Raw genomic sequence first — 14,335 nt, forward strand, 5'->3', positions numbered from 1 at the left:
GGCTCACTACAACCTCTGCCTCCCGGGTTCAAGCGATTCTCCTGCTTCAGCCTCCCAAGTAGCTGGGACTACAGGCATGTGCCACCATGCCTGGCTAATTTTTTTTTTTTTTTTTTTTAGAGACAGGGTTTCACCATGTTGGCCAGGCTGGTCTCCAACTCCTGACCTCAGGTGATCCACCCACCTCAGCCTCTAAAAGTGCTGGGATTACAGGCGTGAGCCACTGCACCTGGCCAAAAAGAATGCTTTGACTCTCATCATCTCCCTCTCACCGTATTATTAATTCAACAAACATTTGTGAGTGCCTACCACATGCCAAGTTGATACAGTAATGAAGAAAAGAAGAGGAAAGGGAGGGAATGGGAGAGAATCTCTGTGCTAATGGATTACATTTTGGTGGGAGAGATAAACAAGATGCAAAATTAAAATCTGTAGTGTGGGCCAGCAGTGGTGGCTCACATTTGTAATCCAACACTTTGGGAGGGCAAGGCGGGTGGATCATTTGAGGTAAGAAGTTCAAGACCAGCCTGGTCAACATGGTGAAACCCTGTCTCTACTAAAAATACAAAAATTAGCTGGGCGTGTTGGTACATGCCTGTAATCCCAGCTATCCAGGAGGCTGTGGCAGGAGGATCACTTGAACCTGGGAGGCGGAGGTTGCAGTGAGCCAAGATCACGCCATTGCACTCTAGCCTGGGTGACAGAGCAAGGCTTTGTCTCAAAAAAAAAAAATTTTTTTTAGTAGGTTGCACAGTGAAAAGTACTAAGGTGCAAAACACTAAAGCAGGGTAGGAGAATATGAAGTGATGTGGCCACGAGAAGCCTCACTAGAAAAGTAAATTTTTGTTGTGTTTTGGAGACGGGGTCTCACTCTGTCACCCAGACTGGAATGTAGTGGTGCTATCACAGCTCACACAGCCTCAACTTCCCCACCTCAGCTTCCCAATTAGCTGGAATTACAGGCACATGCCCCACACTGGGCTAATTTTTCTATTTTTTAGAGATGAAGATTTCCCCATGTTGCCCAGTTGCCCAGGCTGGCCTCAAACTCCTTGGGCTCAAATGATTTGCCCACCTCAGCCTCACTGGGATTACTGGCATGAACCACTGTGCCTGGCCTGAATGTTTTCTTTTCTTCGAGACCGAGTCTTACTGTTGCCCAGGTTAGAGTGCAATGGCACAGTCTCAGCTCACTGCAACCTCCGCCTCCTGGGTTCAGTTGACTTTCCTGCCTCAGCCCCCCGGAGAAGCTGGGATTACAGGTGCCCGCCACCACACCCAGCTAATTTTGTATTTTTAGTAGAGATGGGTTTCACCATGTTGGCCAGGCCAGCCTCAAACTCCTGACCTCAGGTGATCCACCCGCATCGGCTTCTCAAAGTGCTGGGATTACAGGCATGAGCCACTGCGCCCAGCTGAATTTTGTTTGTTTGTTTGTTTGTTTATTTTGAGATGGAGTCTCGCTCTGTTACCCAGGATGGAGTGTAGTGACGCGATCTTGGCTCACTCCAACCTCTGCTTCCCAGGTTTAAGGGATTCTCATGCCTCAGCCTCCTGAGTAGCTGGATCTACAGGCACATGCCACCACGCCCAGCTAGGTTTTTTTGGTAGAGACGGGGTTTCACCCTGTTGGCCAGGCTGGTCTCAAACTCCTGCCCTCAAGTGATCCGCCTACCTTGGCCTCCCAAAGTGCTGGGATTATAGGTGTGAGCCACCGCACCAGGCTTATTTTTTATTTTTATTTTTTTTAGAAACAGGGTCTTACTCTGTCATCTAGGCTGGAGTGTAGTGGCATGATCATAGCTCACTGCAACCTCAAACTCCTGAGCTCAAGGTATCCTCTGTCTCAGCCTCCCAAGTAGCTGAGACTACAGGAATGTGCCACCAAGCTGGCTATTTATTTTATTTTCTGTAGAACCAAAAAAGGTCTCACTATGTTCCCTAGGCTGGTCTCGAACTCGTGGCCTCAAGCAATCCTCCCACCTCAGCCTCCCAAGCACTGGGATTACAGGTATGCTCCACCTTGCCTGGCTGAAAGGCAACTTTTGAATTAAGACATGAAGGAAATGAGAGCTAGCCATGTAGATATCTTGGAGAAGAACATTCTAGGCAAAGAGAATAGCAAGTACCAAAGACTTAAAGCACTTTTTGACATGTTTAAGGAACAGCAAGGAGCCCTATGAGGCTACAGTGAAGAGAAGGAGGAGAAGAGTGATAAGATTTTTTTTTTTTTTTTTTTTTGAGCCAGAGTCTCGCTCTGTCGCCAGGCTGGAGTGCAGTAGCGAGATCTCAGCTCACTGCAACCTCCGCCTCACGGGTTCAAGTGGTTCTTGTGCCTCAGCCTCTTGAGTAGCTGGGACTACGGGCACATACCACCATGCCCAGCTAGTTTTTGTATTTTTGGTAGAGATGGGATTTTGCCATGTTGGCCAGGCTGGTCTCGAATTCCTGACCTCAAGTGATCCGCCCGCCTCAGCCTCCCAAATTCCTGGAATTACAGGTGTGTGCCACCATGCCAGCTAATTTTTGTATTTTTATTAGAGGCAGGGTTTTGCCATGTTGGACAGGCTGATCTCAAACTCCTGACCTCAAGTGATCTGCCCACCTTGGCCTCCCAAAATGCTGGGATTATAGGCGTGAACCACCACACCCAGCCAGAAGAGTGATAGGATTTTGAGGTCACAAACCTAATATGGAGACCAAAGTAGAATCGTGTGGTCCATATTAAGGATTTTGGTCTTTATTATGAGATAGAGACCCACTGAAGAGTGCTAAGGGACATGGTTTGGCATATGCTGTATCAGGATCATTCTGGTTGCTGTGTCAAGAACAAAATGACCGGGCACAGTGGTTCACGCCTGTAATCCCAGCACTTTGGGAGGCCGAGGTGGGCGGATCACCTGAGGTCGGGAGTTCGAGACTAGCCTGACCAACATGGAGAAACCCCATCTCTAGTAAAAATACAAAAATTAGCCGGGCATGGGTGGTGCATGCCTGTAATCCCAGCTACTTGGGAGGCTGAGGCAGGAGGATCGCTTGAACCTGAGAGGCGGAGGTTGCAGTGAGCCAAGATCGTGCCATTGCACTCCAGCCTGGGCAACAAGAGTGAGACTCCATCTCAGAAAAAAAAAAAAAAAAGAACAATGCTGGAGAGAAAGCCAGCTAGGAAGTTACACTAATCCATGTGAGAGATGATGGTGACCTGCCCAGCATTGGGAAGTAGGAAGGCATGGGAAGTGCTTGAATGCTGAGTGTGTTTTGCAGGCAGAGCTGACAGAATTTTCTGACTGACCAATGGGGTGTGAGAAGTGAGAGGCCAAGGAGGACACCCAGTATTTTGAGCAACTGGAAGAACAGAGTTGCCATTAACTTCTTGTTGACTAGAATTTAATCACATGGCATAGGAGGCAGAATTCTAAGAATTCTTCCTATGATCCTTGCCTTGGCATAATCCCTTTCTTCCTTTTTGAGGATAGGTAGAAATCAACATGATCTCACTCCTGAGATTATGTTCTGTTATAAAGCAAAAGGATTATCCAGGTGGGTGTAATCTAATCACAAGCCCTTGAAAATCAGTTTTTCTGGCTGCTGGGCAGAAGGGGAAGACAGAGAGTGTATTAATCAGGGTTCTCCAGAGAGGCAGAACCAATAGAAAGGATGGATGAATAGATAGATAGATTAGATAGATAGATAGATAGATAGATAGATAGATAGATAAAGGGGGTATTTTTTAAAAAAGAGATGGAGTCTCACTAGGATGCCCAGGCTGTTCTTGAACTCCTGAGCTCAACTGATTCTCCTGTGTCCACCTCCCAAAGTGCTGAGATTACAGGCATGAGCCACCACACCCAGCCAGAAAGTATTTTTTAATTAAGGTGTGTACTATGTTTTTTTTAGGCATAATGAATGCTATTGCACATGTAATAGATTACAGTATAGTGTAAACATAACTTTTACATGCACTGGGAAACAAAAAAATGTGAGCCAGTGCACCTGGCTGAGAGGGGATTTATTAGAGGAATTGGCTCATGTGATTATGGTAGGCAAAAAGTCCCACAATGAGCCATATGCAAGCTGGAGACCCTGGGATGCTGGTAGCATGGCTCAATCCAAGTCTGAAGGCCTCAGAACCAGGGAGGCCAAGGGTGTAACTCTCAGGCCGAGCCCAGAGGCCTGAGAACTCAGGGAGGGGAGCCACTGATGTAAGTCCTGGAATCCAAAGGCCGAGAAGTCTGGAGTTATTGTCCAAGGACGGGAGAGGAAGAGTGTATCCCAGCTCCAGCAGGTAGATCAGCACATTCATTTTTGCCCTGGTTTTTCTTCTCTCCAAGCCCCCAGCAGATTGAATGGTGCCCACCCACATTGCAGGCAGATCTTTCCCACCTAGTCCACTGAGACTCACACACTAATCTCCTCTGGAAACACCTTCACAGAGACACTCAAAAGAATGCTTTAGTAGGTTTCTACGTTTTCCTTAATCCAGTTAAGTTGACACCTAAAATTAACCATCAGAGAGAGATTCCAAGCATAAGAAAGGCACTGCACCAAGGCTGCCTTGAAGATGTAGGGGACTGGCCAGGTGCAGTGGCTCACACCTGTAATCTCAACACTTTGGAAGGTCAAGGAGGGCAGATCACTTGAGGTCAGGAGTTCGAGACCATCCTGGCCAACATGGTGAAACCCCATCTCTACTAAAAATACAAAAATTAGCCAGGCGTGGTGGTGCACACCTGTAATCCCAGCTACTTGGGAGGCTGAGACAGGAGAATCTCTTGAACCCAGGAGGCAGAGGTTGCAGTGAGCCAAGATAGCATCACTGCACTCCAGCCTGGGTGGCAGAGCAAGACTCTGTCTCAAAAAAAGAAAAAAAAAAGAAAGAAAAGAAAAGGTGTAGGGACCACAGGAAGTATCCCGGCAGCCTCTGGGAACACAGAGCAGCCCCCGCTGCTCACAGCCAGGTAGGAATCAGGATCTCAGATCTACAGCCACAAGGAACTGGATTCTGCCAACCTGAATGAGTCTAGAAGTAGATTCTTTTCCAGAGCCCAGCCCATGGACACCTTGGTATCAGCCTTTTGGGACCCTGAGCAGAGAACCCAGCCAAGCCCAGACTTCTGACCTACAGAACTCTGAGATAATAAGTGGGTGTTGTTTTAAGCTGCTAAGTCTGTGGTCATTTGTCACACTGCAATAGAAAACAAACACATATGGCCACTCCTAACTGAGAGAGGTTGGTAAATGGTGTCTCAAGCTGGATATTCATGTGCATTGCTAAACTTGGAGGAGGAGTTCTATGATGAAAGAAAGAGAAGCATGAATATTAGGGAGATGATAAGACATTCTTCCACACACTGTAAACCTGCCCTGTCCAATACAGCACACACTAACCACATGTGGGTATCTTTTTTTTCTTTTTTTTTGAGATAGAGTCTCACCCTGTCGCCCAGGCTGGAGTGCAAGGGTGTGATCTTGGCTCACTGCAACCTCCACCTCCCAGGTTCAAGCAATTCTCCCACCTCAGCCTCCAGAGTATTTGGGATTACAGGCACCTGCCATCATGCCTGGATAATTTTTGTACTTTTGTAGAGACAGGGTCTCGCTCTGTTACTTAGGCCGGAGTGCAGTGGTACAATCTTGGCTCACTGCAACCCCAACCTCCTGGGCTCAAGTGATCCTCCCATTTCAGCTTCCTGAGTAGCTAGGACTACAGATGCACACCACCACGCCTGGCTAATTTTTGTAGAGACAGCCTCTTGCTATGTTTCTTAGACTTGTCTCGAATTCCTGGGCTCAAATGATCCACCAGCCTCAGCCTCCCAAAGTGCTGGGATTGCAGGCATGAGCCACTGCGCCTGGTCTAAAAACACCCTTTTCATTCAGCACTATAGGTTTTAAAAGGCAGTGTTCCCATAAGAAATAATGGCAAAGAAAGGAACTCCCAGTCACATTCAGCAAACCTGTTTTCCCAGCTACATTCATGCACTGGTTGATGCAGGTAAGTGTACAGGGGAGGTTGATGGAGAGATAGGAGGGTCCTGGAAACAAAGGAAGACTGTGACATTAGATGACTGCAATCGTGGAGACTCAGATGGTGCTTGTACTACCACGGTTCATCTTTTGAGTATGGGCATGTCATAGTCTGGACCAGAATCTAAATTCTAGTAGCAAAGCAGGTAGGGTGGTTATTGCATAAGGAGGTATCACAACCTGTCATTTGGGGAGGGTGAGGGAAGGACTGGCTGTCACAGCTTAGCCTCACCAAGGACGTATGTGTAGTGCCCTCTGGTGGCCTGCAATGGCACGCAAGCCAGCCAAATCAGAATCCCCCATCTCTCACCCCCCACACCCCCACCCTCCTCCCAGCCACCCCCATCTCAGGCAAGACAAAGCCAGAGTCCTAACTGGTCTCCCTGCTTCCACTCCTGTCCACCAGAATGATTTGTTAAGATCATCAGATCATGTCACTCCTCTGCTCAAAATTCAGGGTAATTTCCCTTCTCCCTGAGTTATTTAGCCACAGTACTCACAGTGGTCTCCATGGCTGTACTCGGTATGGCGCCTCCCAGCAACCTTTCTGTCTCCACTTCCTGCCCCTCTTCCGGCTGCTCACCCTGCTGTAGCCACACCGGGCTGCCTGCTCTTCCTCTGCCAGCATAACCCACCAAGCACACTCCCACCTCTGCATTTGCTGTCTCCCCCACCTGGAATGCACAGATGACTCCTTCATGTCCTTCATATATGTGTCAAATATCACCACATCATCTTTTGCACTAAATTAAAAAACAGCCCTCCTCCCAGCACACTATATCCCCTTTAGCTGGATTCATTTTTTGCCATAGTATTTAATACCATCTGACGTATTACATATGTATTTACATATATATATGTGTGTGTGTATTTATATTTATTACCTATCTCCTACTACTAAACTTTCTGCTTTTTTGAAAAAGCAGAAACTTTGTTTTGTTCCCAGTTGAATCCCCAGGATCTAGAACAGTGTCTAGCCTATAGTAGGTGCTCAAATATATATGTTGGGGAAATAAATGAATCAAGATCTGAATAATGAGCAGGCATTGTATGACCTTCATTGTTTCTTTCTTGAATATTAAGACACTATCACAAAAAGGACAACTCTACAAATATATATAAAATTCATAAAATTCCTATTATATCCCAGCAGCTGGGGCAAAGAAAAAAAAAGAAAAAAATTCCAGTATAATCCCAACAGTTTTTTTTTTCCCAACCACCCCAGATACATCAGACAGATGGTATACATCTCTTCGTGACTCAATCTGCTGAACGATGCAACTGTCACAGTATCCAACAGGTTTCTTTTTAATTGGATTAAATTATCTGATGATTTATTTGGAAAGAATAAAGTACTTGTAAATAGCCAATAAATGTAGAAAGAAGTACAGTAAGGGTGCACTTGGCTTACTAGATCTCAGAAGACACTATAAAGATACCACAATAGCATCAATATAATATTGGCCTGGGCATAGACAAATAAACCAGTGGAATAGAAAAGAGAATCCAGGAATAGATATCTGTTTTTAAGAACATAAAATGTGAACAGTGCAATTTTAATTCAGTGGGATATGGATGGATTATATAATAAATGATGATATCTGTCAGGAAAATAATTGGACCTCCATTTTATATCATACAAAAACAAGTTCCAAGTAGATTAAATACTAAAACATAGCAGGTACTTTTATTTATTCATTTATTTATATTTATATTTATATTTTTGAGGCAGGGTCTTACTCTGTCACCTGGCCTGGAGTACAGTGGCACAATCACGCTTCACTGCAGCCTCAACCTCCCTGGCTCAAGCGATCTTCCTACCTCAGGCTTCCAAGTAGTTGGGACAGGTATGTGCCACCACGCCTGGCTAATTTTTTGTATTTTCTATAGAGACAGGGTTTTGCTATGTTGTCCCAGGCTGGTCTCGAACTCCTGGGCTCAAGTGATCCACCCACCTCAATCTTCCAAAGTGCTGGGACTACAGGTGTGACCCACCATGCATGGCCAGCAGGTCCTTTTAGAACCCCAACTAAGTTCAGAATATAGTTAATTTGGTCCTCAGGCCTATATGAAGAAATATTACTGATTTCATCAAAGTCACAATTTATAGTGTACATTCTTAATCTTTTGGTTGTAAAAAGTCCCATTTCACAACTGGGCTGAGAGTATGAAAGCCCAGATTGAATGAAGAGGGAGTCCGTGGTGTGGAGAGGGGGACTGGTGGTGGTAAGAATGGGGTGCTGGAGCCCAAGCATGAGGAGAGTTTCCATAGGAAAGTAGGGGTGGTGACTCTAGCTGCCCAGCTGAGAATATCAGAGTCCAAGCCAGGTAAGGAAATGGTTCATGGAGGGGCAGGACAAGAGATTGATCAAATAAGTAAATATTTTGAGAATAATGGGAGTGAAGCTTCTATTTAAAATGAAAGAATAAATATAGTAATGAGGAAACTAGAATAAACCCTGTGGCATTAGACTGGAATTGAAGGTATTGGGGGTGGATTCATGGTTTTCTTTTTTTCTTTTCTTTCTTTTTTTTTTTTTTTTTTTTTTTTTGGAGACAGAGTCTGGCTGTCACCCAGGCTGGAGTATAGCGGTGCAATCTCAGCTCACTGCAATCTCCGCCTCCTGGAATCAAGCAATTCTCCTACCTCAGCCTCCTGAATAGCTGGGAATACAGGCACGTGCCACCACACCCGGCTAACTTCTGTATTTTTAGTAGAGACAGGATTTCACCATGTTGGCCAGGCTGGTCTCGAACTCCTGACCTCAAGTGATCTGCCCACCTTGGCCTCCCAAAGTGCTGGGATTACAGGCGTGAGCCACCGCACCCAGCCCATGGTTTTCATTTGATCTAAATATCTTCACCATGTTGAATCTAGACAAGAGGATACATCAGACAAACGCAGATCAAGGGACATTCTATAAAATAACTGGCCTGTTATCTTCAAAAGTGGTCATGAAAGTAAAGGAAAGACTGAGGGACTGTTCCAGACTAAAGAAGACTAAAGAGGGATGAAAACCAAAAGCAGTGTTTTGATCTTGGGTTGTATTCTTTTGCAAGGACATTATTGGGACAATTGGTGAAACTTGAATGGAGTACATTGATGCGACTGTAGTAAAACATCATTGTCAGTGTCCTAGTTTGGATGGTTGTATTATACTTAGGTAAGGAAATGTTGCTGTTTGTGAGAAATACACACAGTAAAGTATTCTCGTGGGCAACAGGGCATGTTGTTGGCAACATACTCTTAAATGGCTCAAGGCAAAAAAAAATTTTTTTGCCCTTGTCTTGCAATTTTTCTGTAAGTTTAACATTATTTCAAAATAAAAAGAAAAGGAAAAATTATTGTTTTAACTACTAACCCAATGAGGAAATAAACATAAAACAAAGCTGCACATGCACGATTAGAACTTCTAGGCTAGGCAGGGTGGTTCACACCTGTAATCCCAGCATTTTGTGAGGCCAAAGCAGGCAGATCACTGAGCCCAGGAGTTTGAGACCAGCCTGCATGCGAAACCCCATCTCTACAAAAAATACAAAAATTAGCTGGGTGTGGTGGTACATGCCTGTAGTTGCAGCTACTCAGGAGGCTTAGGTGAGAGGATCACTTGAGCCTGGGAGGTGGAGGTTGCAGTGAGCCGAGATCGAGCCACTGCACTCCAGCATGGGCAACAACTTCTAGTTACATGTACCTGTATACATACTTCAATACAAAATAATTGTCAACTCCCAGAAAGAATGATTTGATGTATTTCTAGAAAGAAAGGAGCACTGGGTGCTGAGCGTGGTGGCTCATCCCTGTAATCCCAACACTTCGGGAGGCTGAGGTGGGCAGATCGCCTGAGGTCAGGAGTTCGAGAGCAGCCTGGCCAACATGGTGAAACCCCATCTCTACTAAAAATACAAAAATTAGCAGGGCATGGTGGCGCGCGCCTGTAATCCCAGCTACTCTGGAGGCTGAGGCAGGAGAATCGCTTGAACCCGGGAGGCAGAGGTTGCAGTGAGCTGAGATTGCACCATTGCACTCCAGCCTGGGCGACAAGAATGAGACTGTGTCTCAAAATAATAAATAAATAAAGTAAAATAAAATTAAGCAGAACATTTGTTACTGCCCATTAGTCTATATATATATATTCTAGTTTAAGGTCACTTTTCTTTCAACACAAAGTGGATCACCAAAGTGGATCTCCCAAAGTTCTGCTCCTGGGAGAATTCCCCTTCATCATTGTCTTTCAAGACTGTCTCAGAGTAATGCTGTCCATTGCCCACTTGTTTCCTGCATCTGGATACTAAGCTGACCTGCTGTAAAAAAGCACAGGCTTTTTTCTCCTCCTTCAGCTCCTTCATATAAGACTCCTCATAAAGTCAAAGACATGAATTGAGGGAGAGTAATTGGTTCTACAGTGGTAGGGACCATGGGAGTCTGGGCTACCTGCTCATGCAGCTTTCCCAGGTCCTCTGGTCCTACTTGTGACTGATACTAGACATACCGCATCAATGGTTTTGTTTTGTTTTGGTTTGGTTTTTGGTTTTTTGTTTGTTTGTTTGTTTGTTTTTGAGACAGAGTCTCGCTCTCTGTCTTTCCATGCTGGAGTGCAGTGGTACCCTCTTGGCTCACTGCAACCTTTACCTGATCCTCCCGCCTCAGCATCCCAAGTAGCTGGGATTACAAGCATGCACCACCACATCCAGGTACTTTTTGTATTTTTAGTAGAGGAAGGGTTTCACCATGTTGGCCAGTCTGGTCTCAAACTCCTGACCTCAAGTGATCCGCCCACTCAGCCTCCCAAAGTGCTGGGATTACAGTCATGAGCCACCACACCTGGCCCATGTCACATTCACTATTATGATGGAGTGTTGCTGTGCACTGCTGACCTTATGAATTGGCTGTTCTGAGAGGACTCAAACCATAACGGGAAATTCCAGCTGTGCAGTCATTTGGTCATGATCCACCATTTTGTTTCTTCTAAGGGCCAGTAGCATACCAGAGTTGCTTTTCTGTGGTGTTTTGTTTTTGGGACAGAGTCTCGCTCTGTCACACAGCCTACAGTGCAGTGGCGCGATCTTGGCTCACTGCAACTTCCGCCTCCCGGGTTCAAGTGATTCTCCTGCCTCAGTCTCCTGAGTAGCTTGGAGCACAGGTGCACACCACCACACCCTGCTAATTTTTATATTTTTAATATAGACGGGGTTTCACCATGTTGGCCAGGCTGGTCTCGAACTCCTGACCTCAAGTGATCCACCCACCTCGGCCTCCCAAAGTGCTGGGATTACAGGCATGAGCCACCACACCTGGCCCGGAGTTGTTTTTCAACAGCATGTTTAAATCTTCACTGCAGATGGTAGGGTCTTGCTCCAGAGCCCCAGTGCCACTTCCAAAGCTTGACACAAATTATACATAGCATCTTCTCCCACTTCTGATAATCTGCAGCACCATAGGATATGCTGAATTGTATTGTCCTAGGAGTAGGACTGTTTACACTGTAGCCTGTATCTACTGCAAAGCTCTGTCATGCTCTGGGCCCGCTTTAGGCCTTGCTCAAAGCTTCCAGTCTTTCGTGACACCTGGTATATAGACTACAGCAGCATCCTTAGGTGTAGAATATGCTGACTCTAGAATCTGAAGAGATCCACCAGGTGTTGCGCTTCCTTTTTTGTGGGAGAAGGCATAAAATGCAATAATTTGTCTTTTACTTTGAAGAGGATATCCCAACATGCCCCTGACAACTGTACTCCTAAAAATTTTAGGGATGTTGGGGCTTGGCGCAGTGGCTCATGCCTATTATCTCATCACTTTGGGAGGCCGAGGTGAGCAGATCACCTGAGGTCAGGAGTTTGAGACCAGCCTGGCCAACACAGCAAAACCCCCATCTCTACTAAAAATATTAAAATTAGCTGGGCATGGTGATGGGTGCCTGTAATGCCAGCTACTCGGGAGGCTGAGGCAGGAGCTGGGAGGCAGAGGTTGCAGTGAGCAAGATCGTGCCACTGCACTCCAGCCTGGGTGACAGAGCGAGACTCCATCTCAAAAAAATAAAAAAATAAAAATTTTGCTGGGCGCGGTGGTTCACACCTGTAATCCCAGCACTTTGGGAGGCTGAGGCGGGCGGATCACGAGGTCAGGAGATCGAGACCATCCTGGCTAACACAGTGAAACCCCGTCTCTACTAAAAATACAAAAAAATAGCCGGGCGTGCTGGCGGGTGCCTGTAGTCCAAGCTACTCGGGATGCTGAGGCAGGAGAATGGCGTGAACCCGGGAGTGGGAGCTTGCACTGAGCCGAGATCACACCAGTACACTCCAGCCTGGGCAACAGAGTGAGACTCTGTCTCAAAAAAAAAAAAAATTTATAGATGTAGAAGGTCCCTGAATCTTCACAGAGTGCCCTCTGAAGTGCCTGTCTTATTTACCAAGGCCTTCAGTGTATTATCCATCTCTTGTTCATCTGGCTCATTAACATATTGTCATCAATGCAATGGATCAGCATGAAACTCTAAAGTATGTCCAGATAGTTCAGAGGTGTACAATCTTTTGGCTTCCCTGGGCCACATTGGAAGAAGAATTGTCTTGGGCCACACATAAAATACACTAACACGAACGATAGCTGATGAGCCAAAAAATAAATCACAAAAAAGGCTAGACGCAGTGGCTCACGCCTGTAATCCCAGCACTTTGGGAGGCCAAAGTGAGCAGATCACTTGAGGTCAGGAGTTTGAGACTGGCCTGGCCAACATTGCAAAACCCCGTCTCTACTAAAAATACAGAAATTAGCTGGGCATGGTGACGGGCGCCTGTAATCCCAGCTACTCGGGAGGCTGAGGCAGGAGAATCGCTTGAAGCTGGGAGGCGGAAGTTGCAGTAAGCTGAGATTACACTACTGCACTCCAGCCTGGGTGACAGAGCAAGACTCTGTCTCAAAAAAAAAAAAAAATTATAATGTTTTAAGAAAGTTTCAAAGCTCTCCTGTGCCATGTACAGCCTGCAAGCCGTGGGTTGGACAAGGTTGAGATAGTCCAAATCTCTTCAGACTGTATTTTACATAGAGTGGAAGGCATAGCCCTGGGAGGAAAACCTCACATGTATATTGTTGCCCATTCCATGTAAATGCAAACTTTTTTCTGACTCTTTTTCTTTTTCTGATTAGGATAAAAAAGAACACATTTGCCAAATCAGTGGTTGTATAATATGTTCCCGAGGCCAAAGTAATCTGCTGTAGCAAAGATACTACATCTTACATAATGGCTGTAATCGGGGCTATAGTACTTGGTTGAACTCATGGCAGTCTACAGTCACCTTCCAGGATCATCTGGTTTCTATAAGGTCAAGAGTGGTGAATTAAACAGATACATGATAGAAACCACCATCCCTGTATCCTTTATATCCTAAGGATGGAACTAATTTCTGCTGTACCTACTCTCAACACTTTTCTTTGTTGTCCCCCAGGAGTAAACCAATCCTGGTTATGAACTCAGAGACTGGGAAATGACCACTGAGTGGCTCCAAGGACCCAATGGCTGTACTGTAAGCCAGGCCCAAGACAGGATTTCACTTACAACCTGGCCCCATGTGCTTCCTGCACTCTAACAAGGAGAGGTTATGATGGTGCTTCAGGCCTCGAGCATCATTGTCATCACAGACCCTACATCCAACAGACCCTGATATGTCTAGGTATTTTTCTTTCCCAGGTGCACAGTTACCCAAATAAATGGCCATTGGTCTTTTTGAGAAAGAACTGAGGGGATCATTATCACATATTCTTGTTATAGTATTGAGGGTCCTTCCTCCTAGGGACCCAGCCACCTCTTTAATCATGGGATTCCAAGTCTCAAGCTGGCTCTAGTCTGAACACTAGGAAAGGGATTGTGAATTTTTCTTGGGCTATGGCCTTCAGTCTTCTAGTCATCTTTCCTTAATTTCTTCTGCTAGTACAAGCTGAGTAGTACCCTTAACAATTGCCCATCTAATTTGCCCCTAGGGACATTTTGCTTTATTAGTCATCTCCATAACTCTCTGTTGGCCAGGTGTTCCTGGCTGCCACTCAAACCTCACCAGCCATGATGATAATTGCCATTGCCTAGCTTCCGGAAGTTAAGCACTGCCATCTGGACTTTTGTTTGTTTGTTTGTTTCAGTGTCCCATTATCCTCATTGCTATCAGTAAGTCAAGTTCTGTACTAGTCTCTTCTATTATCAGTCCTAGCCTACAGAGGAGAGCGAGTACTTATCTTTTTAGTACTTTTTATTCTGGTGAGCCTCTCACCAGCAAATTCTTTCTTTTTTTTTTTGAGTCAGAGTCTTGCTCTGTCACT

At 45.6% G+C, this 14,335-nt stretch overlaps 2 long non-coding RNA genes and 1 other non-coding gene across 3 annotated transcripts in view; 1 reads left to right on the forward strand and 2 right to left on the reverse strand.

Annotated features, from left to right (window-relative positions):
- Positions 1–6,576, reverse strand: part of LOC101929333 (uncharacterized) — a 12,138-nt gene extending 5,562 nt beyond the window's left edge. Inside the window, exon 1 of the long non-coding RNA NR_198993.1 lies at positions 6,528–6,576. This is a non-coding gene — a long non-coding RNA (uncharacterized LOC101929333). The remainder of the gene's footprint in view (positions 1–6,527) is intronic.
- Positions 6,577–7,250: 674 nt separating this feature from the next.
- On the reverse strand, positions 7,251–7,320 carry LOC124900366 (small nucleolar RNA SNORD77). Its single transcript, XR_007064817.1, has one exon. It is a non-coding gene; the product is annotated as a small nucleolar RNA SNORD77 (small nucleolar RNA).
- A 5,600-nt stretch (positions 7,321–12,920) lies between these two features.
- LOC124903526 (uncharacterized) lies at positions 12,921–13,756 on the forward strand. Its single transcript, XR_007064713.1, has 2 exons — positions 12,921–13,347; positions 13,471–13,756. It is a non-coding gene; the product is annotated as an uncharacterized LOC124903526 (long non-coding RNA).
- The last annotated feature ends 579 nt before the right edge of the window (positions 13,757–14,335 follow it).

The sequence above is a fragment of the Homo sapiens genome, chromosome 15, assembly GCF_000001405.40.
Source record: "Homo sapiens chromosome 15, GRCh38.p14 Primary Assembly".
Taxonomy (NCBI): domain Eukaryota; kingdom Metazoa; phylum Chordata; class Mammalia; order Primates; family Hominidae; genus Homo; species Homo sapiens.